Source organism: Homo sapiens, chromosome 6 (assembly GCF_000001405.40).
Source record: "Homo sapiens chromosome 6, GRCh38.p14 Primary Assembly".
NCBI classification, from domain to species: Eukaryota; Metazoa; Chordata; class Mammalia; order Primates; family Hominidae; genus Homo; species Homo sapiens.
The window spans coordinates 130,133,774-130,160,518 of NC_000006.12; the positions used below are offsets into that span (position 1 = coordinate 130,133,774).

A 26,745-nucleotide genomic window follows, 5' to 3' on the forward strand; every position below is an offset into this window, starting at 1 on the left:
TTTTGAACCTGTAGCATTTAGATTCTGACTGTGTTTTTTAACTGGGAATTTTGATATTGCTTTTGACAGGTGTCAGAATTTATACAGAGCTTACCTGGGTGTGAAGAACATGGAAAGGTATTTAAAGATGAAGTAAGTATTCCACTAAATTGCAATATGTTACTTAATGGGATCAAAGCACTGAAATGCAGTGGAAGGTGAAATGTGTGGAATTGGCAGAGTCAAAAAGAGATGGGGTGTGTTGAAATTGACAAATTGATGTATACTAACAGGCAGTATGAATCAGTTGTATAAAAATGTCTTTGTATAAGATGAGATGCATAAGAATGTTTGTGAGTACCATTTTATGATACCCCACAGCAGTAACACTAGGCTCCTTATAAAAAGAAAACCCACAGAACTTAATAGCATGCATTTATATAGTTTATAGCACAGAGGAAGCCAAAGAAAGAAAGAAGCAACATTTTCTCTTTTTAATAAAGTGAAATTAGTTTCCATTATTTTATTTTCCAGTGTCATTCTAACAACACCATGATTGACTCCATTTGAGGTTTATAATAAGTAATATTAGCATTATGTCTAAAAAAATCCCTTAAGTCATATACATTCCTCAATAATGTTTATAATAAGATATTTATCACAGTCCACTTTTGGAAGATTATTTTATTAGTTGTTTTCAACTCCCTCTCCAAAACTTCAATATAAGGGGTGATTAAGAATGATATCACTTACAGTGAGCACTAGAATAAAAAGGAATCTGGTTTCTAACTTTTAATTCTGTAAGCGTACAGCAGGAGACCCTTTTCAGTAGAGACCTTTAAAAATAAGCCACTTGCCTGTCATCTCCTCCAAGCAAAGCAGTCAATTACCCCTCTGATTTTGGCTGTGTCTACTCCTGCCAGAAGGCAGAAAGTAGACTGAGTAATCTCAGAAGGTGCTCTCCAACATCTGCTGTCTACAGTTACACGCATACACAACTTGTTTGCCCCTATGTGTAAAGCTCAACTGTTAAGAACAGCACACTTTCCATTTCATTGCAGGAGTATAGACACAGCTAACAATCCAGCCACCAGTTGTCAGTGTTGTTATACTGTTAGGTATAATTTATGCGTTAGATGAAAGCTTGTTAAAATGCACAAGGATCTGATTTCCAACATCCTTTTTCTGATTTATGTTCTTATTGTGCAAAGGTTTTATTTTCTCTCTGTTTGATCTTTAATTGGCAGTTATTCAGATTTTCTTTCCCTAAGTCCTGAGTGTCTTCACTGATACTCTCAATTCATTTTCTGTTTTTTCCTTTTTTTTTTTTTTTTTTTTAAATCGAGATGGAGTCTTGCTCTTCTCTCCTGGGCTAGAGTGCTCACTGCAACCTCCGCCTCCTGGCAGAGGCGATTCTCCTGCCTCAGCCACCTGAGTAGCTGGGATTACAGGTGCCCGCCACCACGCTCGGCTAATTTTTTTTGTATTTTTAGTAGAGACTTGGTTTCACCGTGTTGGCCAGGCTGGTCTCGAACTCCTGACCTCAGGTGATCTGCCCACCTCGGCCTCCCAAAGTGCTGAGATTACAGACGTGAGCCACCGTGCCCAGCCTGAATTCATTCTGTATCGCTGAGCAGACTTAGAGCCACATAGGGAGCTGTTGGTCTGTCTTGGAAAATGTCATGTTGTCATTACCTTTGAAAATAATAAAGCATTTTTGAAAATAAATTTATAATGCATCTCTTTTATAACTTCTGTTTTTTTATTCTGTTGTTATCTAGATAATCCCTATAGGTTTGCTCTATTATTCAGTTTGAGTAAGATTCAAGTTTAAATTCAAAATGAGATGCTATTTTTTGAGTAATTTTTTTTATTCATGGCAGATTGTCTTTGGAGATGTTCCTCAGTTACCAAATATGCTCAAAGCTAGATCCTTTTCTGGAGGAGTGAGATAGTTAATATTCTCTGTCGATATGAATTATTCATTCATTTACTCCTTCATTCATTCATCTTGTGCACATTTGTTAAATTCCGACCATGAGTATGTTACTTTGTGTCATGCTCTTGTGAGAAGGATGATTCGAAAATAATGAAACCTAGTCCTTGTTCTCAAGTGTCTCACAAGGTCAGTGGGTTTGGGTTTTGAGTCCTACAAGTAAACCATAGTACAAATCTAACCGAAGTCTTATAAATCATCTTTAAAAGGCAAAGGACAAGTATTCAGATAGGCTGTTGTTGGAAATTATCCTTGACTTCTCTCTTACACATGCCACATCTCATCTGTTGAAAATCCTATTGGGTGTATCTTTGAAACATGTAAAACCCTTATCACCCTACTGCCACCACCACCCTGGTCTGCGCCACCATCCTCTCCCACTTGGATTAGTGCAGTAACCTCCAAACTCATTTTCCTGCTTCTGTTTTTGCTCCTCTACAGTCTATTCCCAGCACAGCCAAGGTTACCCTGCTGAAACATAAGTCAAACCATGTCACTCCTCTGTTCAGGTCCTTCCAATAGCTTCATCTCTCAATCAGAGTAAAAGCAGAAGTCCTTACAAGGGCCTGCAGTCTGACACCTCATTACCTCTCTTGCCCCCTGGCTTTTTGTTTACACTGCCCCTCACGAGTCTACGTGCTGGCCTCCTTGCTCTTCCTCTGATTGTCCAGGCTTGCTCCCGCTCCTCCTTCTGCACAGAACACTCTTCCTCCAGATGTTCATGTGGCTCACTTCTTCTGCTCAGATGCCAGCTTGCCAATTAGTCCTGCCCTGACTTTCTTACTTGAAATTGCCTCTTGTCACCACACATGCATCCCTGCTCCTGCTGCCCATTCATCTTCCTAGTCAGCTCTGTTTAATCATAGCACAAATCACCTTTTTTTTTTGAGACAGAGCCTCACTCTGTCGCCCAGGCTGGAGTGTAGTGGCACAATATTAGCTCACTGCAACCTCTGCCTCCCAGGTTCAAGCTATTCTCATGCTTCAGCCTCCCAAGTAGCTGGGACTGCAGGTGCGTGCCACCACACCCGGCTAATTTTTGTATTTTTAGTAGAGATGTGGTTTCACCATATTGGCCACACTGGTCTTGAACTCCTGACCTCAAGTGATCCACTGACTTCAGCCTCCCAAAGTGCTGCAATTACACTCATGAGCCGCTGCTCCTGGCCAACATGAGTCACTTTCTAACTTACTAATTAATTGGCTTACTTAGTATGTTTATTGGCTTATGGTCTGTCTACCACTTCTAGAATGTAAATTCCACAAAAAGTTTTTTGCTTGCTTGGTTTTATTTGTTTTATTCCCTGCTATATGTCTAAGCCCAAGAAGAGTGTTTGGAATATAATAGACATTCAGTATATTTTTGTTGAGTGAATACATTCATGCCTTTACACTCTGAGAAAGACTCACTCAGACAGAGCATGTCACTGTGGTTTCGAGTTAAGGCATTGGAAAAGAACAAATAGTGAATAGTGGAAAGGGCAGTGAAATGGAAGGCCAGAGCTCCTGAATTCCAAATCCCTCTCCTTTGTTTTAGGCCATTAGCAAGACACCTAATGTCTGGAATAATGGCATTGTATATGCATTGCAGAAGCTAACCGAAAAAAAAGTAAGCCTTGTAATACATTGCAGTGGTCACTGTTGTTCTTAGGATGTACTTTCCTGAATTAAGTTGACTTCCTTCCAATCAAGACTTGTTTGTATGGCCACATGTCAGAGCAACCTGTATGTAATAAAGAGTTTGGAAGTAGCCTCAAGATTTTTTTTCTTTCTAGTGTATGTAACCTTATAAATAACAACCTACCAAAATGTATCCTTACTGTCCCACTTTTAACTTCAAATCCCAGCCACTAAGTTCTCTGGATGTTTTTTTTTTTCATCAGTTACCTGTTGTGTTATACTCTTACATAGTTTCAGAAGGAGACTTGCTGTCTGCGCCAGGCCTTCAGTAGGGCCAAGGTTGTAATAAACCAGTCAGCCTTTGTAGTGGGCTCCTTGGGAATGTCAGTTGACATTTTCATTAATGACTTAGAAGACTTCTATAAGGCTGTCCATTGTACTAAGGTCTGCCTTGGTTGAGCGAAGTGTTAATAGATCTGCCTTTCTTCCTGACCTTGCTTTATCAGAGGACTGTCATAGCACAAGCAAATGAGAACAGACCAATGTTTCCAGAAAACAGGAGAACATTTCTCATACCTGCCGCTTAACGGTGCTACACTTGGAGATTAACACTGGAACGTCTTTCCTTCTAGTTTACAACAGCAGGATGTCTTTTTACTGAAATTAGCACACTTTTTCCACATAATTGTTACTTGAAGAAGTTGTGTAAGATGACTCCAGTTCTTACTGATGAAGCATTTAGGCAGTCTATATTTACAGGTCTTTCATTTTTAAAGGAGAGAGGAAAATCTTAAGAAGTAGCAATTTAATTATATCAGCCTTGTTTAGAGAACTGTTTGCAGAATTTAGAGTTGTCTTAGTTTGCTAGGGCCACCATAACAATGCCAACCACAAACGGGTGGCTTAAATGGCAGAAATGCATCGTCTCACAGTTCTAGAAGCTGAGAATCTGAAGAAGGCTAGAAGTCAGGGGGTTGGCAGGGTTGCTTCCTCCCGAGGGCTGTGAGGAAAGAATCTGTCCTGGGCCTCTCTCCTTGACTTGTAGATGTGACTTGTAGATGGTGGTCTCTCTTTGGGTCTTTACGTTGCCTTCCCTCTATATGTGTCTCTTTCTCCAGATCTCTCCTTTTTATGAGGATACCAGTCATAATTGGATTAGGCACCCACCCTACTCCAGTGTGACCTCATCTTAACCAGTTACCTCTGCACTGACCCTATTTCCAAATAAAAGTCACATTCTGAGGTACTGGGAGTCAGGACATCAATATACGAATTTTTGTGACAGGGACACCATTCAACCCATAACGGAGTGCGTTGCTGTCAAGGTTTCTGATGTTCTAAGGCAGAGAACAAAAGTGTGTTTTACTTTTTGTACAAGGTGGGAAAACTGAAAGGGAAACTTTTTTTTTTTAAGGTGATAGAAGAGCTGAAAGTCATAATGAAAGACTGTTTCTTTGCTCTGCCCAGTAAGCCAGACATCATTTTCATAGTATTTTATCTTTTAACCTAAAAGATGTGTTGTACCTTTGAACTTCTAGAGAATAGTAGCCTATTTTTCAGAAGCATAGACTTTTGTCTTAGAAGATGTCCAGAGAGAGGAAGGGTCTTTCTCATAGTTACCCTACCTGCGTATTAGAAGAACCACCTTAAAGTCAGTGACTCGTAACACCAGCCTCACATTCACTGTTTGATTGCCCCGTTAGTAAATGCTTTTCTTCTGTGTGTAAAGACTTAACTGTGGCCACACTAGAGATAAGTGTTATCTTTCTGATTTTCTTTTCTTCATGGTGGAAGGCTAATTCTGGAAAAAAAAAAAATGTTGCATGTAGCTGATATGTTTGCCTGAGTTATTTTATGTCCACAAACATTCATGTACCTGTTATCTCTTCTAATTTTAAAACCTGCCATGATAAAAACTAGACTTTGGGCATCCTGGATTTTTCCATATTCTTCTTAACTCTACAACTAATTCAGAGTAATCACAGGAAGATATGGGCACCTTCTGTTTTCCTTTGGCTGGTTTTTCAGGTGAATTAGTTTACTTTGTTCCCAGTCCACTTTGGGATGTGTCATTGTGGATAAGAAAGGTCCATATATCAAGAAATGTCATTGCACACGTGAACTTCTCTGTGCTTTTTTAGCATTGCTATGTAGAAGACAGCTGGTAATTTAACCTTGAATATTTTCTACAACACTGCATCTTGTTAATCCACATTCTGTTGTTTTTTTCCCCCATTTTAGCAAATTGATGGAGAAGCATTTCTACTTATGACTCAAACAGACATTGTTAAAATTATGAGCATTAAACTGGGCCCTGCTCTCAAAATTTTCAATTCCATCCTGATGTTCAAAGCTGCAGAGAAGAATTCTCACAATGAACTTTGAAGATGGTGAATTCTGAATACCATCAGCATTCTGCTTTAAAGCTCATGTTTTATTCAAAGCACAAGGACGGTTATAACTCCTAAGTGAGAAGTCTCCAAAACTCAAAAGAGCAACACTATCGGATTATTTATATTACTCAAGAGACAATATATATGAATTCTTATGAAAGTGCTTGAGCTTTTAACCAGGTACTGTCTAACAACAGTCATCTTTTGGTTCTGTTCACTGAGCTAAATTTATCTTTGTAAATCTTTTTGAGTCTGGGGGGTGGGGGGAAGGGGGGCTTCATTAATTATTTATGGTAATGGGGGGCAGAGTAAGAACTTTTGGCATTTTGTAAACATTGTTGAATTCTCTTTCATGTACACTGTTTCTTTTTCAATACTTTCAGAAACCTTTTTATATAATCAAATTTCAATTTAAACCAAATTAGTCGAAACCTGGCTAAGTTTAGCCAGTAGGACTGTTATCTGTATTGTTAATTTTGTGCCATATTTTGAATTGCAACATTATGCTAAGTATAACTTTGCAAGTCATGATATTGCCTAACTGCTTGTCATAATTGTCAGGGCTGAATAGTTGTAAGAATGACTTTTCTTTGAATCAGTATTTTTCCTTTTGCACGCATTATGAAATGTTAAACAAATTACTTTTCACCAGCATCTTTACTATAATTACCAAAAACATGTATATAAAAGAATGAAATTGAAAAATAAAATATATAAACATAAATAAATTAGGTAGTGTATTTTGAGTGGCATCAGTCTCACTCATCTTGGTGCCCCGGTGTTTACAAGAGCCAGATGGTGTCAGAGGAGTACGCAGTTGTATGCAGTTATGGTTGGGGGGAATGTTTGTGAGGGTCTTGAACTATTTATGAGATGATCTTGAGCTTCTAATTTTCATTGATGAAATTGTGGTGGTTTACAGAGACTAAGAGCTCATTCTGTCAACAGAAACACTAATCTGTACAGAGCGCTGTCTCAGGTCATGCATTGTCCTCCAAACCCAAAGGTTTTTTTCAGGGTTGGCTAGAGAGCGAGTATTGTGATTTTGCTGAAAAGACAAGGTGTGAAGGAGCAACTTCAGTTGACACAAAATTTGAAATGCTCACAGATCAGGGAGGTGATTTCCCAAAGTAATTGCCCAAGAACCTCCGTTTTGGAAGGATTCCTTTTTCTGTAGAATACTTTGCCTCGATATATAAGCATACAGATGCACTTTAAATGAAAACCCTTGATTATAAATTGATAGCTGGTAGTGTTTCTTTTGCAAGAATGCATTTCTAAGGCAAAAGGTAAATTATTTTGTCCGTCTTTTGATGTACTTTCTGATTCCAGGATTGGATATTTATTCAAGGACTATTTTAAAAATAGAAAGTAAGTTTGTAGCATGCTGTCTGAATTCTGGGGTAAGTTCCACCTCTTCTTTAGTTGCTTTCGTTTTTTATGATGTAGGACTTCCTTTGATATCCCTGTTGGAAGTCCATTAGCAGTCCTTTGCATTTGCCAATTCAAGGTAAAACAGGGTCAGTGACATCTGCAGTGTCCCAGTCATTTATTTGCATGAATCTGCTTAAATAAGTTTTTTGTTGCTGTTTTTTCTTTTTTATGTTTTGTTCAGAATTTGTACATTCAAGTTGTACTTGTTATATCTGACATGAATGAAATAAAATCTTAATTACAGATGCTTTTTACATATGTATGATTTTTAAGAAAGCTTCTCAAATAGGAGAGGCAGAACAAGAACAGGAAGAGCATCAAGTATTTGGACATTACTAGCTATGTAATGAATCTGTAGGATTCAGAATTGTCAAACTGTGTCCCAAGATGATGACAAAAATATTGAAAGATTATATTGTTAGGTCAAGTCCAATTCATCCCCATTGGGAATTTTTTTCAAGTGTAAAGCATAGAACTAAAGCATAGTTTAAATCATGAGATTTTAAACATCTTCTTCTTTTTTTTTTTTTTTTTTTTTTTTTGGAGACAGAGTCTCTCTCTGTCCCCCAGGCTGGAGTGCAGTGGTGCACTGTCGGCTCACTGCAACCTCTGCCTCCTGGGTTCAAGTGATTCTCCTGCCTCAGCCTCCTGAGTAGCTGGGATTACAGGTACCCGCCACCACGGCTGGCTAATTTTGGTATTTTTAGTAGAGATGGGGTTTTGCCGTGTTGGCCAGGCTGGTCTTGAACTCCTGACCTCAGGTCATCTGCCTGCCTCAGCCTCCCAAAGTGCTGGGATTACAGGCATGAGCCACCACTCCCGGGCAATTTTTAAAATCTTATTGAAGACATCCACTCATTCTATGCAACATGTTGTTACATGTTAGAGGCAAGGCATTAAGCATCTGTAGGGTGGTGAGGAATTCACTGTACCTCAAGAAGGTGAAAACTCTCACCACTCCATCCCTGGGATATAGTCTAAGTTTTAACAGAGAATATAGGGCACCATGATTGTAGGGAGATCTCTGAAGTGAGAGATGCAGGCTTGGGGTAAGACAGACGGTGGAAGCCAAGCTCAGTGGCTCAACCCTGTAATCCCAGCTACTCAGGAGGCTGAGGCAGGAGGATCTCTTGAGCCCAAGGATTTCGAGACCAGCCTGGGCAACATAGCAAGACCCCATCTCAAAAAAATAAAAATAAAAGAGAGAAAAGGGAGGAATAGAAAATATAGACCTTGATAGGACCTTCCCATCTAAAGGCATTTTTTTTAAAAAATTGAAAACACTGCGCAAGCCAAATACAACCTTTGTGCAGGTTGATATTTGTCCTCAGGCTGCCATTCTGCAACTTCTAGATTCAGTAGACTCAGCCCCTAAATAAAATAGGGTATGTTGGTCAAGCAGTGTTGAATTTAGCAAGTGTCAGGATGTGCTGGGCACTGGGGATAGATACACCATTGAGAAAGACAATAAAATGGGCTTGAATCTACCTTCAAGGTCAGCCCATGTCTGTGTCATGCTTGGAGCCAAACTTCACTGCAGTTTCCTTGTAGCTCACCTTGTCATCCTGTCATGGCCTGAGAGAGGCTGTCATTCAACTTCAGCCATAGGGATGTATACCTTATAAGGAAAAGAATCTGTAAGAACTTGGTAAGTTTATTTGGGAATAAAGGACTAAAAGGAAGAAGGAGTAATTTGGGGAAATAAAGGAAAGTTTGTAAGGAACTAAAGGTACATTCTAATGAAAGGGAAGAAATGATTACTGGAGGATAGGAACTAGGTTAGGCAAAATGACTTGTGCCAAATTGTTACTTACTCTGCCTGTGTTTTGATGTAAGTAGTTAATTAATAGTGATTGTAGAAATGGGCAACTGTTCTTTGACTTCTTTTATCTCACTGGCTTTAGCGTTTTAATGAACAGTCCTTAGAGAGAGAAAGATATCTAGCAGGCTGTTGTCATTTCAGTGATAGAATAAATATTTTGCAGTTATTTCCAGAGATGGGTAGTGTAAAACTATTTCTTCAATAGTTTGCATGAACCTTTCTTTTGTTTTTGTTTGTTTGTTTGTTGAGACACAGTCTCATTCTGTTGCCCAGGCTGGAGTACAATTGCATGATCTTGGCTCACTGCAACCTCCGCCTCCCAGGTTCAAGCAGTTCTCCTGCCTCAGCCTCCCAAGTAGCTGGGACTACAGGCATGTGCTACCACACCCGGCTAATTTGTTTTTTTAGTAGAGACAGCGTTTCACATTATTAGCCAGGCTGGTCTCGAACTCCTGACCTCAGGTGATCTGCCCATCTTGGCCTCCCAAAGTGCCAGGATTACAGGTGTGAGCCACCGTGCCCGGCCCACATGAGCCTTTCTTAAACTTAAAAAAAAATTAATTTGAACATGTAACCCAGGAAATGTTCATCCCACCATGCTGTGTAGGTATTTTTAACACACTTAAATCCCTTTTCTGTTCCCAAAAGGCCCTGGTCTATCTTCCAAAGCTAATAAGTCATGTTGATATTTTGATAATAACATCAAGGGGCACCTTAAACTATAGTTCTTACCTTGTGAAATAGTTGGAAAGAGGGAGAGTGCACTGAGTCTTGTTAGACCCAAAAAGTACTTATGCAGCCATTGTTAAGAGCAGAACAGATAGAACTGGACTCTGGGCAGTAGCCAGTTGGGCATGCAGGATGAGTCACTGTGTTTCCAAGGCGAGAAGCAGTAGCAGATGAACACAGGTCACAGACATCAGGACCTGTACCAGCAAGATCAGCCAGCAATGAGGAGACCTCAAAAATGCCGCAGCCCTTATTCTCAACAAGCGATTAAAGACAACCAGATCTCCTGGGGCAAGGCAGATCCCCTGAGGGAGAGAAGAGTATGTGTCCCTTCTTGAAATGTTCAATGCAAGTTCAAAATGTTCCCAAGTGATGTTCAGACCAAAGAGACAGCCCACAGGCCATAAATGTGCAGCTCCTGTGCATTAAGTGGGCATGCTGAATTCAGTCCAAGGCCATTCTCTAACCTGAAGGATTTGAGTACAGTGTATTTCAAAAAAACTGAGGCACCTCTGAAAATATAACTTAACTGCGGAATTTCTAAAAACTCAAAATAAATCGACAGCTCTTTAATGAAGTAGAATTTTATTACAGAATTTCACAAAGAACTTAATATCTAAGTGTAAAGATAGAAAGCATTGAAATTCATTAGCATCTATAAATACAAGATGATTTTCTCATACCTACCTCTACCACAACCCTAAATCAAAACAATTTCTTATGAAGCTTCAGTTTTCCCAGAGGTAAATTCCAGTACAATATTTGGCATGCTATTAAGTGAGTGGGTGCTGAAATCCTACTTCGTTTTCCTTTTCTTTCAAAGAAGGAAAATAAGGACTGTGCATATCGAAAATCAGCGTTTCTAGGAAGTTGAAAGTTTGGGACAGTCTTCTTGGACACTCAATCCTAAATACATGAAAGGCAGCTACTAGCGCAGCCAAGGCTGTAACACAGTCGTCCACCTTTGTGAGCCTCTCCCTTTCTAAATATAAAGAAAATTCGCAGACCTCCATGTTGAAAGGGTTTTTAACTTCCAACACAGGTGTGGACACTTGCACCTGAAAAAAAGAGTGGAGTCATTACCATGATACGTAAAATAGCTAAATAATAAAACATCTGAACTTAATCATGGTATTACAATAAATCAGCTTGTTGCAATGTAGCATATTTGTAAATATGACAAACATACTTCAAAATAGACCACCAACTTTGCTTTTAAATAAGTTATCGCGGTTGGGCTCAGTAGCTCATGCCTGTAATCCCAGCACTTTGGGAGGCCAAGGCAGGTGGATCACCTGAGGTCAGGAGTTCCAGACCAGCCTGACCAACACCGTGAAACCCCGTCTCTACTAAAATACAAAAATTAGCTGGGCGTGGTGGTGCATGCCTATAATCCCAGCTACTTGGGAGGCTGAGGCACGAGAATCGCTTGAACCAGGAGGTGGAGGCTGCAGTGAGCCAAGATCACGCCATTGTACTCCAGCCTGGGCAAAAGAGTGAGACTCCATCTCAAAAATATAAGTAAATAAATAATATAAATAATCGCATGAAGATGTAAAATGTCAAACTAGTGGCCATTCACATACTACATACCTGTTCATTCATGATGACAAAAAGGCTGGGATCATCCCCAAAAACATCTGGGAGGAGTAAACATGTGGCTGTCATCTTCATGTCTGTCAAAGCAAATATGTTAACATGTGAAGTAAAAATAAGCTTTTAGCAATTGTAAGCTAAGCTAGTATTGAAACATCTGGATTTTTTGTTACCTTGGACAGAAAACAAACTAGCCTTCTTAGATCAATGTTTCACACCTTTTTAAACCATACCCTCTTCTAATAAAACATTCAAAATCTCGTATCTGCCCTCCAGAGCACTTCCAGAAGACAAGAGTTCTGTACTGTCTGTCCATCAGCCAGGAAGAATTTATGCTGCCCCTTGTGATTTGTATTGTAAAATTAACTGGTTACTAGTTCCCTAAATATAATTTTACAATATCCAGTATACTTTTAAAATCTATACCTCTCCTCCTCCTCTAATTGGAAAAATTCTTTTTTTTCCCCACCAGTTGTTTCACTTATTACTTAAATATTGAAAATTATTATTAAATATATTTTAGTAATGTAAATTTTTAATTTTTAAATATATTTTTAAAACTCAATAAATGTAAACTACTGAATTTTACTGACTACCAAAGCATAACTTTTCTAGATATTCTGATAAATAACAGATGAAATCACACCACTCCATAAGGTTTACTAACATTTCAACATGTCTTCATCTGTGTAATGTTTCATTTTTTCTTGCAATACAATATTGATTGGATTGTCCACCACTGAAAAAGAAGTCAGTATATTTTCTGAATAGGATTCCAAAATGTGCCTTGTTTTCTTATAAATATCTGTTCTTGTAAGAAGTTGGAATTCTCTGAACATCTGACAAAAGAAGAAAGCAATGGATACATCAGATCACAAGAAAAGCTAATATATAGAATGTAAAGACATAAAACCTTTAGAATTAAGCTTTGAATGCTGGTTTACACTAAGTACTCAATATTTTAGAAGTTTTAGTGGAGAATTAAAGCCTTAGGATGAGGGAGGAGAAAAGAATGAAAGCCTGAAATGAATTTGAAATGATAAATAATGGGCATGGCAAATTTCTAAACCTACAGAACTAAAACTTTGGATGCAGACTCAACTAAATGAGGATTCAAAGGGTGTATGCATATGCAGGCTATTTGGGTTACCCAGCTAAGGTTCTAAGATCTTACATTTCTTTAGGTGACTACATTGTTATGTCTTGTTCAACAAGCAGCAAAGAACAAAACTGTTAGATTTTAGGAAGCAAGCCCTGACAAATACTTAACCATAGTATCCTAAATTTAGGTAAAGGAGAGTGCTTTAGAAACTAAGAGTAGACAGAGGTAAACAGTGAAAAACGATATATGGCTGGGCACGGTGGCTCATGATTATAATCCCAGCATTTTGGGAGGCCAGGGCAGGAGGATCACTTGAGCCCAGGAGTTTGAGACCAGCCTGGGCAACACAGAAAAACCCTGTCTCTACAAAACACAAAAATTAGCTGGGCATGGCAACATACGTGTATAGTCTCAGCTACTCAGGAGGCTGAGGTGGGAAGATTGCCTTAGCCCGGGGAGATCGAGACTGCAGTGAACCGAGACTGTGCCACTGCACTCCAGCCTGGGCAACGTAGTGAGACCCTGTCTCAAAAGAAAAGAAAGAAAAAGAAACAATGTATGTGCAGATTTGACTACAAGTTCAAAGCAAAACCAGTTTACTTTATGGAAGTCCCTTTCCTCAAACTACCCCATCCTACCACTGCCTGAACTCTTCCCCCTCAGAGGATTCCACCACCACTCCCCCTCCTGTTTTTGACAGTGGCATTATCAGATTATTAGCCACCCACACTCCAGTGAATTAATTTAGTCATTGCTTTTCCTAAAACTATAAAGAACAATCACATACTACCCACTGGGCCTCATTGTTCCTTGAATGTTTTGGTAGATCATAAATTGCCTAGAGATTAGGTCTGAAAGTTAAGTTGTCAGAAAGCTGGAATGCATAAGGCATAGTGGCTTTGTTACCAGGCAACCCACAGTGGACCACTAATCTAGATTAATACCGTTAGAAAACCGTTTTCTCAGCAGGAAGATGTGAAGGGAAGGATGAAGGAGGTGAATACGCCACTGTTCTGGGCTCATAGCCTAAGAATTTCTTTTCTGACTTTTTATGTTTTGAAATAATTTCAAGTTTGCATTAAAGTTGCAGAAATAGTAAACAGAACTTACAAGTGCCCTCTGTGCAGCTTCCCCCAATTTCTGATCCAGTTGAAAATGAGCTGTAGATACAATGCCCCACTATTCCTTAATACCTCATTGTGTATTTCCTAAGTACAAGAGCACCCAAATTCAGGAAAATCTACTACACATTCCATTCAAATTTGCCAGTTGTTCCAGTCATATTCTTAACAGGCCCAGGATCTAATCCAGGATCCCATATGAGATTTAGATACCACGCCTCTCTAGTCTCCAGTCTGAAACAACTTGTTAGTTTCCTTGACGGTTTCTGAAAAGTGGAGGCCAGTTACTTTGTAGAACATTTCTCCTTGGAAGTTTTATGATATTTCAAGATTTATGCATTTCTGGCAAGAATATTAGCATTTCTCACTGTGTCCGGAAGCACAAAATGGTAACTGGTCCCAGTATTGGAGATAATTTTTATTACTTGATTAGAAATGGAATTCACCAGGTTTTTCCACGTAAAATTAATATATGTTGTATTTTATGAGGAGATACCTTGAGTTTATGTCAATATCTTGTTCCTTGTATAACTTTGATCCATCAGATTCCACATCCATTAATGATTCTTGCCTGAATCAAGTACTACTACAATAGTTGCCAAATGGTGACTTTTCTAATTCCTTTCTTTCTACATGGATTAGTTGGCTTTCTATTTTAAGATAGTTTCTTTTCTTCCACATATATTTACTTACTTATTTCTATCACTACAGGTTAATCAATTCCCATTTTACCCAAACGGTTACAAATCTGATCCTTTCATTATTTATAGAATTGCTCGAATTGCCCAGACTTGGCCAGTAGGAGTCGCTTCAAACAGACTGCCGTGCCCTCTTGGCATGTCCTTATTAGTGTGCAAGCACTTCCTTCATTTCTGGCATTACACAGTATTTCAGACTCGTCTTGACTCGTCTTGGTTTGTTGTTGTTGTTTTCATTTTTGTTTTGCCCCCAACCCTGTAGTGAGCTATTTCTCCACGAACCCTAATTCCTTTTCATGAAGAATGGCTTTAAAAACTAAGATTTCAGGCCAGGCACTGTGGCTCATGCCTATAATCCTAGCACTTTGGGAGGCCAGGGCAGAAGGATCATTTGAGCCCAGGAGTTTGAGACCAGCCTGAGCAACATGGCGAAATCTGTCTCTACAAAAAATACAAAAATTTGCCAGGTATGGTGGCACATGCCTGTAGTCCCAGATACTCAGGAGGCTGAGGTAGAAGGATCACCTGAGCCCTGGGAGGCCAAGGCTGCAGTGAGCCATGATCATGACACTCCAGCCTGGACAACAGAGAGACTTTCTCAAAAAAAACCCAACCAAAAAAAACCAAGATTTCAGCCCTGGTGTGCAACTTGCTACGGAGATGTTATTGCTTTAGACTTTCTCATAGAAGAAATCTAGGAAATGTTTGAATTTACATAAACAAAGGCACCCGTTGATCCAGAAACACCAATAACTATATATGTAAATATTAAATAGCCATACATAAAGACTAAAACCATGAATTCACATTGATACTTTCAATTCCAAACCAATACCACAGGGCTTTTCCTAACCTTCCCCTTCCCAAGCTTCTAACTCTCTTCAACAGTGAGATTCCTGGCTCCCATTATATCTCAGTGTATTTACTTATGAGCACTAACATCTGTGTAGCCAAGCTCCCAGCTGTGAATGGTCAGCCACAGGAAAGCCTCCAACACTTATACACTGCTAGTGGGAATGTAAATTAGTTCAGCCACTGTGGAAAGCCGTTTGGAGATTTCTCAAAGAACTTAAAACAGAGCTACCATTTGACCCAACAATCCCATTACTGGGTATATACCCAAAGGAATATAAAGAAAGACGCATGCACACATATATTCATTGCAGCACTATTCACAATAGCAATAACATGGAATCCACCTAGATGCCCATCAATAGCAGACTGGATAAAGAAAATGTACATGTACACCATGGAATACTACATAGCCATAAAAAAGAATGAAATCATGTCCTTTGCAGCAACATAGGTGTAGCTGGAGGCCATTGTTCTAAGCAAATTAATGCAGGACTAGAAAACCAGATACTGCATGTTCTTTCTTATAAGTGGGAGCTAACCACTGAGTACACATGGACACAAAGAAGGGAACAATAGACCCCGGAGTCCACTTGAGATTAGAGGGTGGGTGGAAGGTGAGGATCGAAAAACTACCTATCGGGTATTATGCCCGCTACCTGGGTGATGAAATAACCTGTACACCAAACCCCCACGACATGCAATCTACTTATATAACAAACCTGCACGACGTATCCCCTGCTGAACCTAAAAGTTGGAACAAAAAGAAAGCCCCCCTTTTCACAACCCCAGATTATGTCCTACAAATTAATCATCTTAATCCTTTTTCTTTCTGTTACTCAGACTGGATAATTTCTATTAATCTATCTGCAGATTCACAGCTCCTTTCTTTTCATTTTCCAATATGCTTTTAAGCCTACGCACATGGTGATGTTTTCATTTCAGATAACTGTTCTTTTCAGCTCTGAATTTCAATTTGGTTCATGTGTGTGTGTGTGCGCGCGTGTGTGTGTGCGTGTATTTCATTTCTCTGCTGAGATTCCCTATGGTGATGATACATGGAATTTACTGGTCTTATCCTGTTCCCCACCGTCCTGTCCTGAAGCAGCTGGCTTGCCAGACTGGTGGAGTGGCCTGTTGAAGACTCAGTTACAGCACCAGCTAGGTGGCAATACCTTGTGGGGCTGGGACAAGGTTCTCCCAGGCTGTATAAGCTCTGAATCAGCATCCAGCATACAGTGCAGTTTCTTCCATAGCCAGAATTCATGGGTCCAGGAACCAAGAGTTGGAAATGGGAATGGCGCCGCTCACTGTAACCTCTAGTGATCCACTAGTGGGGAGTCTGGATTAAATTATGTTCCTTTAAAGGGTGTTAAATTTTGTTCTGATAGGCAGATAAATTATGGTGGATCTTCTGGTCCTGTCAGACTTGATTTTATCATTTCTTTCGGCAATTCTGTTTTGTTGTTTGTCCTTAGTCCTAGCTAAGGTCCTGGCTCAAACTTAGGCATGGTTCTCACTCATGAGGCATTGTTTTCTGGAGTCTCAGATGAATGCTGAGGTGTTCTGCAGGGTCTCTACACACTGGGCCAGAATTCTTTTTTTTTTTTTTTTGAGACAGAATCTCACTCCATCGCCCAGGCTGGAGTCCAGTGGCACAATCTCGGCTCACTATAGCCTCTGCCTTCCAGGTTCAAGCCATTCTCCTGCCTCAGCCTCCTGAGTAGCTGGGATTACAGGTGTGTGCCACCACACCCGGCTAATTTTTGTATTTTTAGTAGAGACAGGGTTTCACCATGTTGGCCAGGCTGGTCTCGAACTCCCGACCTCAAGTGATCTGCCTGCCTCAGCCTCCCAAAGTGTTGGGATTACAGGCGTGAGCCACCACACCTAGCCTGAATTCTTATTAGCAACACTGTGTGAAGTCTCGGCTCTCAGCCAAGGATCCCCAGGGGATCCGTGTGTAGACTTCGGCCCAGCCCACTTTCCTCCAGTGCCTGTCCTACAAAGGCCAGCTGCTTCATCATTCCTCAACTTTAATCTCTTCCTGTGCAGCTCCATGAGACCTCCGCATGCTGCTTGCCTCCCACCATTCTGTACAGTGAGCTAGAAAGTAACCCATGCACAAAACTGAGGCACATCTTATGTCTTTCCGTTACCAAGGATCAGGGTCCTGCATTGCCTGTACCTTAATGCCTGAGTGCAGTTGCCTCATACATATTTTTTTTTTCCAGCTTTATCCATGTTAACAGTGGGAAGACTAGACCAGTACCAGTTACTCCATTTGGGCCAAAACCAAACTCAAATTCTTTATTTTTTAAATTTATTTATTTATTTATTTTTAACACGGAGTTTCACTCTTGTTGCCCAGACTGGAGTGCAGTGGCGCAATCTCGGCTCACCGCACCCTCCGTCTCCCAGGTTCAAGCGATTCTCCTGCCTCAGCCTCCTTAGTAGCTGGGATTACAGGCATGTGCCACCACGCCCGGCTAATTTTGTATTTTTAGTAGAGACAGTGTTTCTCCACGTTGGTCAGCCTTGTCTCGAACTCCTGACCTCAGGTGATCTGCCCGCCTCGGCCTCCCAAAGTGCTGGGATTACAGGCATGAGCCACCATGCCTGGCCGATTTTTTTAATTTTTTGAGACTTTATTAGCTGGCGATTCTCACGTACTTCACTTAAAGAGATGATGATTGAAATTGTTTCTCAGGAAGGCAGAAACTATGGCATCTGAAAGGATTTTTTGGAAAATTTGGGGAAGGGTTTCAGTTTGTGTTTGGTATTTTCCTTCTCAACTCCCTCCTACTTGTCTTGTGCAACATCCAGTAGATCCCAGTAACACATTCCTAGTTGATAATATTTTAGATAATCTAATAAAGTAAATGGTTACATTCTGAATTTTTAAATGCCTTGTTGAAAGAAAGTTTTTTGAGGAAGGAGGTTAATGAGCATGGAGGTGATGGGGGGTCAGTGTTAACAGCCAGGACCACCGCCCACCCCGGCTGCTGCTGTTCTGCCACCCTGTCTCCACCAGCTCCCTAAGCACTCAGTGTTTTCACAATGGCAGGAGCAACAGGCGGTGGGGGTGGTTTGGTGCAGGGACAACTGTCCTCTTACGGGATCATTTGTTAACTAGGTATTTGCGAGGTCAAACTTGCTTTTATTTTAGGAGGCACACAAGAGTTTTATAAATTGGAAATCCCAGCTGCCTAGGGCTGAGTCAGGGAGGTACTTCCTGGAAAAACCGAAAATGATTCGTTCTTTTGTCTAAAACAATCAGGTCGGGCACGGTGGCTCACAGCTGTAATCCCAGCACTTTGGGAGGCTGAGGCAGGTGGATCACCTGAGCTCAGGAGTTCAAGACCAGCCTGACCAACATGGTGAAACCCCATCTCTACTAAAAATATAAAAATTAGCCAGGCGTGGTGGCGTGCATCCGTAGTCCCAGCTACTTGGGAGGCTGAGGCAGGAAAATCACTTGAACCTGGGAGGCAGAGGCTGCAGTGAGCCAAGATTGTGCCACTGCACTCCAGCCTGGGCGACAAAGTAAGACTCTGTCTCAATAAATAAATAAATAAATAAATAAAACAATCAACAGGCAACTCTATTCAATAAGTACAGTCATTACAAAAACCATACTCCATATTTTGGATATAAAGGGTGAAATACTTGAGGAATGGTGCGGAAGATACACCTATGCCACAGCAGGAGGCCTGGACAAAAGCACAGGGGACAGCATCAGGTCTGAAATCTCTCTGCTCCTCACATAAGCTATGACAGACCTCCACCTTACTGTCACCAATGGTTCTTTGAAAAGCTGCTTAACATAGTCCATTTATATTCATCACTAAGCCTTTGTAGGCCACACTCCAATGAAGACCCCTAAGGCTACGACATTAGTGATCACAACAGCCTTACCAACCTCCACTAATTCACTCAGCATTCACAAAATCAAGATTACATTGCTGTGTCACACGTGGTGCTCTGCTAGGCACTTTGGGAACTGTTAATATTAACACGTGCTCCCTACATGTAAGGAGTGTATAGACCGTAAGTTTGACAGGCTTTTGCTTTAAAACTGTATTTTGCAGATGTGTCCATTTGGCATACTTTTCTAACAGCCAGAGATGACTGGCTATTACAGTTCCTTACAACCTGAAGATTAAGGGGAAACAAGCGAAAGCCACAGTATGGTTGCTGAGAGGATTAGGTAGATTAATCCGTGGAAAGCACTGAGAACATGCTGTTACAGAGAAGCATTCAGATATTTGCTACTTATGTTTCTATTAAAATAATACAGGCAATTCTTATTTCCCTTTGCTCAGAAGAAAAATATGTAGATGTTTCATGTTTAATTTGGTTAATTGAATACATAGAATTTCTCCATGAAATATGTTCTCGGGTAAAACCTTTGATGATCTTTCATTATATACCACCACCAAAAATTACACTAAAATTGTGAAAGAACCTTGAATGGCCACTCTAAGTGAACTAAATGGAAGGGTATTTGATTGATTTACCCATTAAATTTCATATATATATATATATATTTATTTATTTATTTATTTTTTAAAATTTGAGACAGGGTCTCACTGTGTCACCAAGCTGCAGTACAGTGGCTCAGTCATGGCTCACTGCAGCCTTGACCTCCCCAGGTTTAGGTGATCCTCGTGCCTTAGCCTCCCAGAATAGTTGGGACTACAGGCACGCACCACTAAGCTGGGGTAATTTTTGTACTTTTAGTAGAGATGGGGTTTTACCAGGTTGCTGAGGCGGGTCTTGAACTCCTGGGCTCAAGCAATCCACCCACCTCAGCCTCCCAAAGTGCTGGGATTACAGGCATGAGCCACCATGCCTGGCCCTAAATTTCATATATATTTAAGGACACTTATGAAATTATTTGGGATCATAAAGGAAACGTATTTTTACTAAGGATGCATAATAACAGTTCCTTAATAAACTACCTTGATTACATAAAAGCATGAAAGGGAATAATGATTCACACTGTCAAAATACCCCTAAGTGATGATCCGCCACCCTCCACAATATGTCCAATGACAGAGAACTCTTTAGTTCTGAAGGCAGCTGGTGCCTATTATCTGAATATGCTACTGAAATTCTTTTTTTTTTTTTTTAATTTTTCCTTTTTCATGGTTAGGAAAGAGGGTGGGTGGGGAGGGTCTGCTTCCTGAAATTCCTATCAAATGGCTCTAGTTGCAGCCTTTGGGCCTCACACCCCACTGAGATTCACCCCCACTGTCTTGCTATGTTGTCCTGTTACCACTCCAAGAGGAAAGAGGGAAAAATCCATTTGGACACTGTAATCCCAGCACTTTGAGAGGCTAAGGCAGGCAGATCACCTGAGGTCAGGAGTTCAAGACCAACCTGGTCAAGATGGTGAAACCCCATCTCTACTGAAAATACAAAAACTAGTTGGGCATGGTGGCACACACTTGTAGTCCCAGCTACTCAGGAGGCTGAGGCAGGAGATTCGCTTGAACCTGGGAGGCAGAGGTTGCAGTGAGCTGAGATCGCAGGCCATTGCACTCCAGCCTGGGCGACAGAGCAAGACTCTGTCTGAAAAAAAAAAAAAAAAAAAAAAAATATATATATATATATATATATATGTATGTATATATAATATTAAAATATGTGTGTGTGTGTATATACATATATATGTGTGTGTATATATATATAGAATAAAGATACCTGATAAGGGCACTTCAAGAAAGGAAACAGTTTAAGAATGTCCTTCAGAGGTGTTCGGCTGCCAATCATCTTTCTTCTTATTTCCAAAGTTTGGCTCATTCTCTTGTCAATTTCTCTCCAGTCCTTTTCTGTTTTCACGTATTCTTGCTGGAACCACTTAATATGTTCATCTAGCTCAGAATCAAAACAAACAGCTTCTTCCTGCAAAACATTTTCAACATATCAATGGATTCCATGTTTCTATAAAAACTTGAATTTCAGGCTGTTATTGCACACTCTTAACTCATTCCTAAGGTGAGTATCACCATACCTGGTTACACTTGACATTGAGCATAACTAATAAATGGACAGTCTTTAATGACAATAAATTAGATAGTTAATTACTTATCATGGAATTATAATCTATTCTCTTGAAAGATCTAAAAGAGTTACTTTAATTCCTACGTTATCCTTTTATATAGAGACAGATTATCCAGAAGGTTCCCACTGAATCAAATGTTGCTCATTTCTATGCATTTCAATTTTAGAAGATAAAATGTTAAGAAGATATTTTTAAAAGTATTAAGGTTTTGTTATTACTATTATCTTTTTTCTTTTTAAATGCCTTTTTATAGCTGCAGTACCATGCCATATAATCCAAATTCAAAATAATAACAGTGGTTATTTTCTGATGCTAAATCATTAAACTAATAATTTTATTCACTATACAACTGGGTACGTTGGGCGGAGTGGGGGCAGCTAAGAAACACCTCACTTATTCTTGTTGAAAATCTAAGACAATCAGCTTTGAGGAAATAAGAAAAATATCTTTCTAGAAATATGAGTTAAGAGGACAGTCAGCTGAACTGCATGCAAATCAAAGTTGATCAACTGTCTAGCTGACCAGAATGTGAACAGATGATACCTATAAAAGACGAAAAAGGTGATAAGGAATCTACAATCCTCTTATATCAAGGCTTTTACAAGCACATAGGAAAGCCTCAGTAGATCTACTTTCTGTGAACACAGAATGACTAACAAGACCTAAACCAAGTGAAGGAACGCCTAGAAAAATAAAATTATCAAAATTAAGAAGAAGTTCCTATAATCTTATACAAATTTAGTTGGAAGATAAAAGTCTTTCCACAAAGAAAATACCAAGAAAGACTTGAGGGTTTTACAGACAAAATCTACTTAACTTTTGAAACAGAGTGTTCAAATTTATGCAAAATTTTTCAAGAAAAAGGAAAGGAGGCCAGGCATGGTGGCTCACACCTGTAATCCCAGCACTTTGGAAGGACGAGTCAGGAGGATCACCTAAAGCCAGGAGTTCAAGACCAGCCTAGCCAACATAGCGAAACCCCACCTCTACTAAAAATACAAAAATTAGCCGACACAGTAGCATGCACCTGTAATCCCAGCTACTTGGGAGGCTGAGGCATGAGAATTGCTTGAACCGGGAAGCAGAGCCGAGATCACACCACTGCACTGCAACCTGGGAGACAGAGCAAGACTGTCTCAAAAAAAAAGAAAAGAAAAAAAAGGAATACTCTCTAACCCATCCTTTGAAGCCTCTATGACACTGATCCCCAAACCTGAAAGAACAGTGTAAGAAAGGAAAAGTGCAGTCACTCTCGTTCATGAACAAAGTTGCAGATATTAGAAACAAGGAACAACTAACTTGAATTTATTATACCTCAGAAACTCAAGGGTAGTTTGACATTGGTAAGGGAACTATAGCAAATTAAAAGAAAACATGATTGATTTACCCATTACGTTTCACATACTATCATACTAAAATCTCAGTTTGGGGGCCACTGTTATAGAAAGATTCGGGGCAGAAAAGAGGTAGGTTTTGAGAAACGTGGTGTATGAACAGTATGATTGTTGGGCACAGCAGCTCACACCCAGTAATCCCAATACTTTGGGAGGCTGAGGCTGAGGGTTACTTGAGGCCAGGAGTTTGAGAGAAGCCAGGGCAACATAGCAAGGCTCTATCTCTACAAAAACAATAATAAATGTTGGGAGGCCGAGGCGGGTGGATCACCTTAGGTCAGGAGTTTGAGACCAGCCTGGCTAACATGGTGAAACCCTGTCTCTACTAAAAATACAAAAAAGTAGCCAGGTGTGGTGGCACATTCCTGTAATCCCAGCTACCCGGGGGACTGAGACAGGAGAATCGTTTGAACCTGGGGGACAGAGGTTGTGGTGAGCCAAGATGGTGCCACTGTGCTCCAGCCTAGGCAACAGAGTGAGACTCCGTCTCAAAAAATAAATAAATAAATAAATAAATAAATAAATAAATAAATAAATAATAAAATTACAACAGTTCCATAATTTTACTTGGATTATCTAAACATGTGTAAACGTCATATACTGCATTAATTAACTAATTAAAGATGAAAAAACATGACCATTTCAAATAACGCAGAAAAAGTATCTTATAATATCCCTCTATGATTAAAGAAAAAAACTTTTGTCAAAATAAGAGAAATTTTCAAAACCTATAAAGTTATATACCAAAAACCTAGAGCTAACATATTTTTTTTTTTTGAGACAAGGTCTCACTCTGTCACCCAGGCTGAAGTGCAGTGGCGTGATCACAGCTCAGTGCAGCCTCAAACTTCCAGGCACAAGTGATCAACTGTCCCAACAGATGGGCCTACAGGGCCATGCCACCACATCTGGTTAATTTTTGTATTTTTTGTAGAGACAGGTCTTGCCATGTTGCCCAGGCTGGTCTTGAACCCCTGGGCTTAAGTGATCTGCTACCTTGGCCTCCCAAATTGTTGGGATTACAGGCATGAGCCACCACGCCTGACAGATATGATTTTTAATGGTGAAATTTTAAAAGAATAATCTTTAAAATCAGAAGCAACACAAAGGTGCTTTATTAAACTCTTACTCAGCCTATACTGAAATTCTAGTCAGAGTAGTAAGACAGGAAAATAAAAGGTATAAAAATTGAAAAGATAGAAACGAAATTGTCAATATTCATAGATGATGTGATTGTTCAAGAGAAAACTTAAAATCATGCATATGTAATTTGTTACAGCTGAGTTTTTCAGAGCAACTGAATACAAGATAAATATTCTAACATACGCTAACATAGAAAATACAATTTTTTACAATTATATTTTGCAAAAAAAAAAAATTAAATTGCAAAAAAAACCTTATAAGATACCTAGGAATAAAACTAACAAAAAATGTGGAAGACTTTTAAGAAAATTATGAAACTATAAAATATTAATGAGACTTAAATAAATGGATAGCCTATTATGTTCACAGCTAGCAAGATTCAATATTGTAAGAAAGTCATCTTTCTCCAAGTAGAGCTGCTGATTCAATATTTCTGTCAAAATCCCAAACCTATCAAAAACCACAATTTTTTTTATCAGAACTTGACTAGCTGATTCTAAAACTCATTTGAAAGATTAAAAACCTCAAGAATGACCAAGGCATTCTTAAAGAATAATAAAGCAGTGATGGGAAAGTATCAAGACATTTTACAGCTATGTAAGTAAGGAAGTTGGTATTGATGCAGGGATAGATGACTTTACTAGCGGAAAACAGCAGAGCTTCTAGACACAGAGCCATGGAAACAACAGAGATGGCATCACGAATCTGAGGAAGAGAATGACTATTTTCTGAAAGGTGCAAGAAAATTTTCTATCCATAAGGAAAAAAAAAATCCCATATGGCTTAAGAAGTTAAATTTTAAGAGCAAAAACTTAAAAAAATTTAAAGAAAATATAGAAATATTTCTTATCACTTCAAGGTAAGAAAGGATTTCCTAAAAGTGTTACCAGTGGAGGGCCTTGACTACAAGTTGTCCAGGTTCTTGGCGTTTTGAACAAAGAATTGGAAGAAATGCACAACAAAGCCATGAAATAAAGAAGCAACAAAAATCAGATTTATTGAAACAAAAGTATACTCCACAGAGTGGGAGCGGGCTCAAGCTGGCTGCTCAAGAGAATTTTCTGGGTTTTAAATAGCCTCTAGTGGTTTCCCACTGGTGACTCGGTTTACACCCTATGTAAATACAGGAGAGGCCCACGACCAGTCTGATTGGTTGTGGAAGGTGACCAATCAGTGGCTGAAGTTACAAAATTACACTCTATGCAAATGTCTGATTGGTTGTGGGAAGGGACCAGAGGCTGAAGTGAAGTAGTGAAGTAACAAAGTTATATCCCAATGCAAATGAAGACTAGGCCTGCTACCAGTCTGACTGGTTGCAAGAGGGGACCAATCAGAGGTTGATATGGTTTGGCTCTGTGTCCCCACCCAAATCTCATCTTGTAGCTCCCATAATTCCCACCTGTTGTGGGAAGGACCAGTTGGGAGATGATTGAATCATGGGGGCAAGTCTTTCTCATGCTGTTCTCATGGTAGTGAATGGGTCTCACAAGATCCAATGGTTTTAAAAACGGGAGTTTCTCTGCACAAGCTCTCTGTTTGCCTGTTGCCATCCACAGAAGATGTGACTTTCTCCTCCTTGCCTTCTGACATAATTGTGAGGCCTCCCCAGTCATGTGTAACTGTAAGTTCAATAAGCCTCTTTATTTTGTAAATTGCCCGGTCTCAGGTATGTCTTTATCAGCAGTGTGAAAACAGACTAATACAGAGGTACTTTCCATTTTTCATCTGCCACACAGAGGCGGGTGGGAGATTGCAAAGGGAGTAGCCTCTGGTCCTTTTGTTACCTGGGCATGAAAAGTTGGGGTTTTCCTTTTGATTCAGTTCGAGGAAGTTGGTGCAAATTGGCCTTAGGCTTCCTGCCTTCAGACCCTATTCTCCTGCCTCAGAAGCACTGATCATAAGACAAATGATTGATAACTCTAACTACATTAAAATTGCAACCTTGTCTTTCCTTGTCAAAAGACACCAGAAAGAAATTTAAAAGGCAAGGCACAAACTGTGAGAAGATATTGGGAACAAATATAATTAGTAAAGGAGTAGAATACAGAATATACAAAGGATTTTTACAAGTAAATTGAAAAAAAGGCAGCCTCATAGAAAAATAAGCAAAAGACATGAACAGACACTTTACAGAGGAGGAAACATGAATATTTCATAAACATATGAAAAGATGATCACCCTCATACATAACTAAAATGGAAGCCAAACACAGTACCATTGTATTCCCAATAGATTGGAAGTGGGGTGGTGGCATTGCATGGGGGTGGGGTGAGTGGAAAAGAAATCAGATGATTAACGAGTGCTGCTCAGGGAGCTTAATCATCCAGGAAAATAATTTGGCACTGTCTTACAGAGTTGAATATCTGCACACCCTGTGAGCCAGTGAGCCAGCAAATCCACTCCTAAGTATAAATCCTTGAAAAAAATCTTCACATATGCTTCAAGACACACATACAAGAATAATCACAGCAGCATAGTTCATAACAGCCAACACTGGAAACAAATCAAATATCCGTTAAGAAGAGAAGAGCCAAATAAACTGGTTGCCTGTCACAATAGATTAAACCAACAGGAAAACGAATAAACTACACTCAACTGAACAACCTGGATGAATTCCAGTGACATTACATTGATTGAAAAAAAGGAACTTATCAAAGCCAACATATAGTTTTCATATCATTTTGTAAACCTTAAAAACAAGCAAAACTAGAATTTGTTTTAGGCTGGGGTAGTGAAGGAAAATTCGTGGAAGATGAGGAACTGATCAGATTTTAAGGGATAATAGAATTTGAAAGA

General features: G+C 39.7%; 2 protein-coding genes across 32 annotated transcripts in view, besides 2 other annotated features; one reads left to right on the top strand and one right to left on the bottom strand.

Annotated features, from left to right (window-relative positions):
* The window catches only part of L3MBTL3 (L3MBTL histone methyl-lysine binding protein 3), a 122,858-nt gene extending 115,193 nt beyond the window's left edge, over nt 1-7,665 (top strand). For all 22 annotated transcript variants that reach the window (XM_047419407.1, XM_011536184.3, XM_047419410.1 and 19 more), the window contains 2 exons: nt 70-132; nt 5,837-7,665. In XM_047419407.1, the coding sequence (XP_047275363.1) occupies nt 70-132; nt 5,837-5,980 (207 nt within the window). In that variant the 3' untranslated portion in view covers nt 5,981-7,665. The remainder of the gene's footprint in view (nt 1-69; nt 133-5,836) is intronic.
* Nucleotides 4,797-5,066: an enhancer, noted in NCBI's record as "active region_25055". NCBI's record gives its function as "activates an Ori minimal core promoter by ATAC-STARR-seq in GM12878 lymphoblastoid cells {active_cell/tissue: GM12878}" and the evidence as "EXISTENCE:reporter gene assay evidence [ECO:0000049][PMID:35858748]".
* The window catches only part of SAMD3 (sterile alpha motif domain containing 3), a 223,117-nt gene continuing 205,350 nt past the window's right edge, over nt 8,979-26,745 (bottom strand). For 8 of the 10 annotated variants that reach the window (XM_047418239.1, XM_024446335.2, NM_001258275.3 and 5 more), the window contains 4 exons: nt 21,052-21,252; nt 12,237-12,408; nt 11,567-11,649; nt 10,542-11,031 (listed from right to left, as the gene is read on the bottom strand). In XM_047418239.1, the coding sequence (XP_047274195.1) occupies nt 10,747-11,031; nt 11,567-11,649; nt 12,237-12,408; nt 21,052-21,252 (741 nt within the window). In that variant the 3' untranslated portion in view covers nt 10,542-10,746. Of the gene's footprint in view, nt 9,344-9,976; nt 10,279-10,541; nt 11,032-11,566; nt 11,650-12,236; nt 12,409-21,051; nt 21,253-26,745 lie in introns of those variants that run through there. The other 2 variants (XR_001743174.3, XM_017010308.3) reach the window with 2 other exon arrangements.
* Nucleotides 18,872-19,492: an enhancer, noted in NCBI's record as "NANOG hESC enhancer chr6:130473790-130474410 (GRCh37/hg19 assembly coordinates)". NCBI's record gives its function as "activates a minimal SCP1, AML or CMV promoter by ChIP-STARR-seq in naive H9 embryonic stem cells {active_cell/tissue: H9 hESC(naive)}" and the evidence as "EXISTENCE:reporter gene assay evidence [ECO:0000049][PMID:30033119]".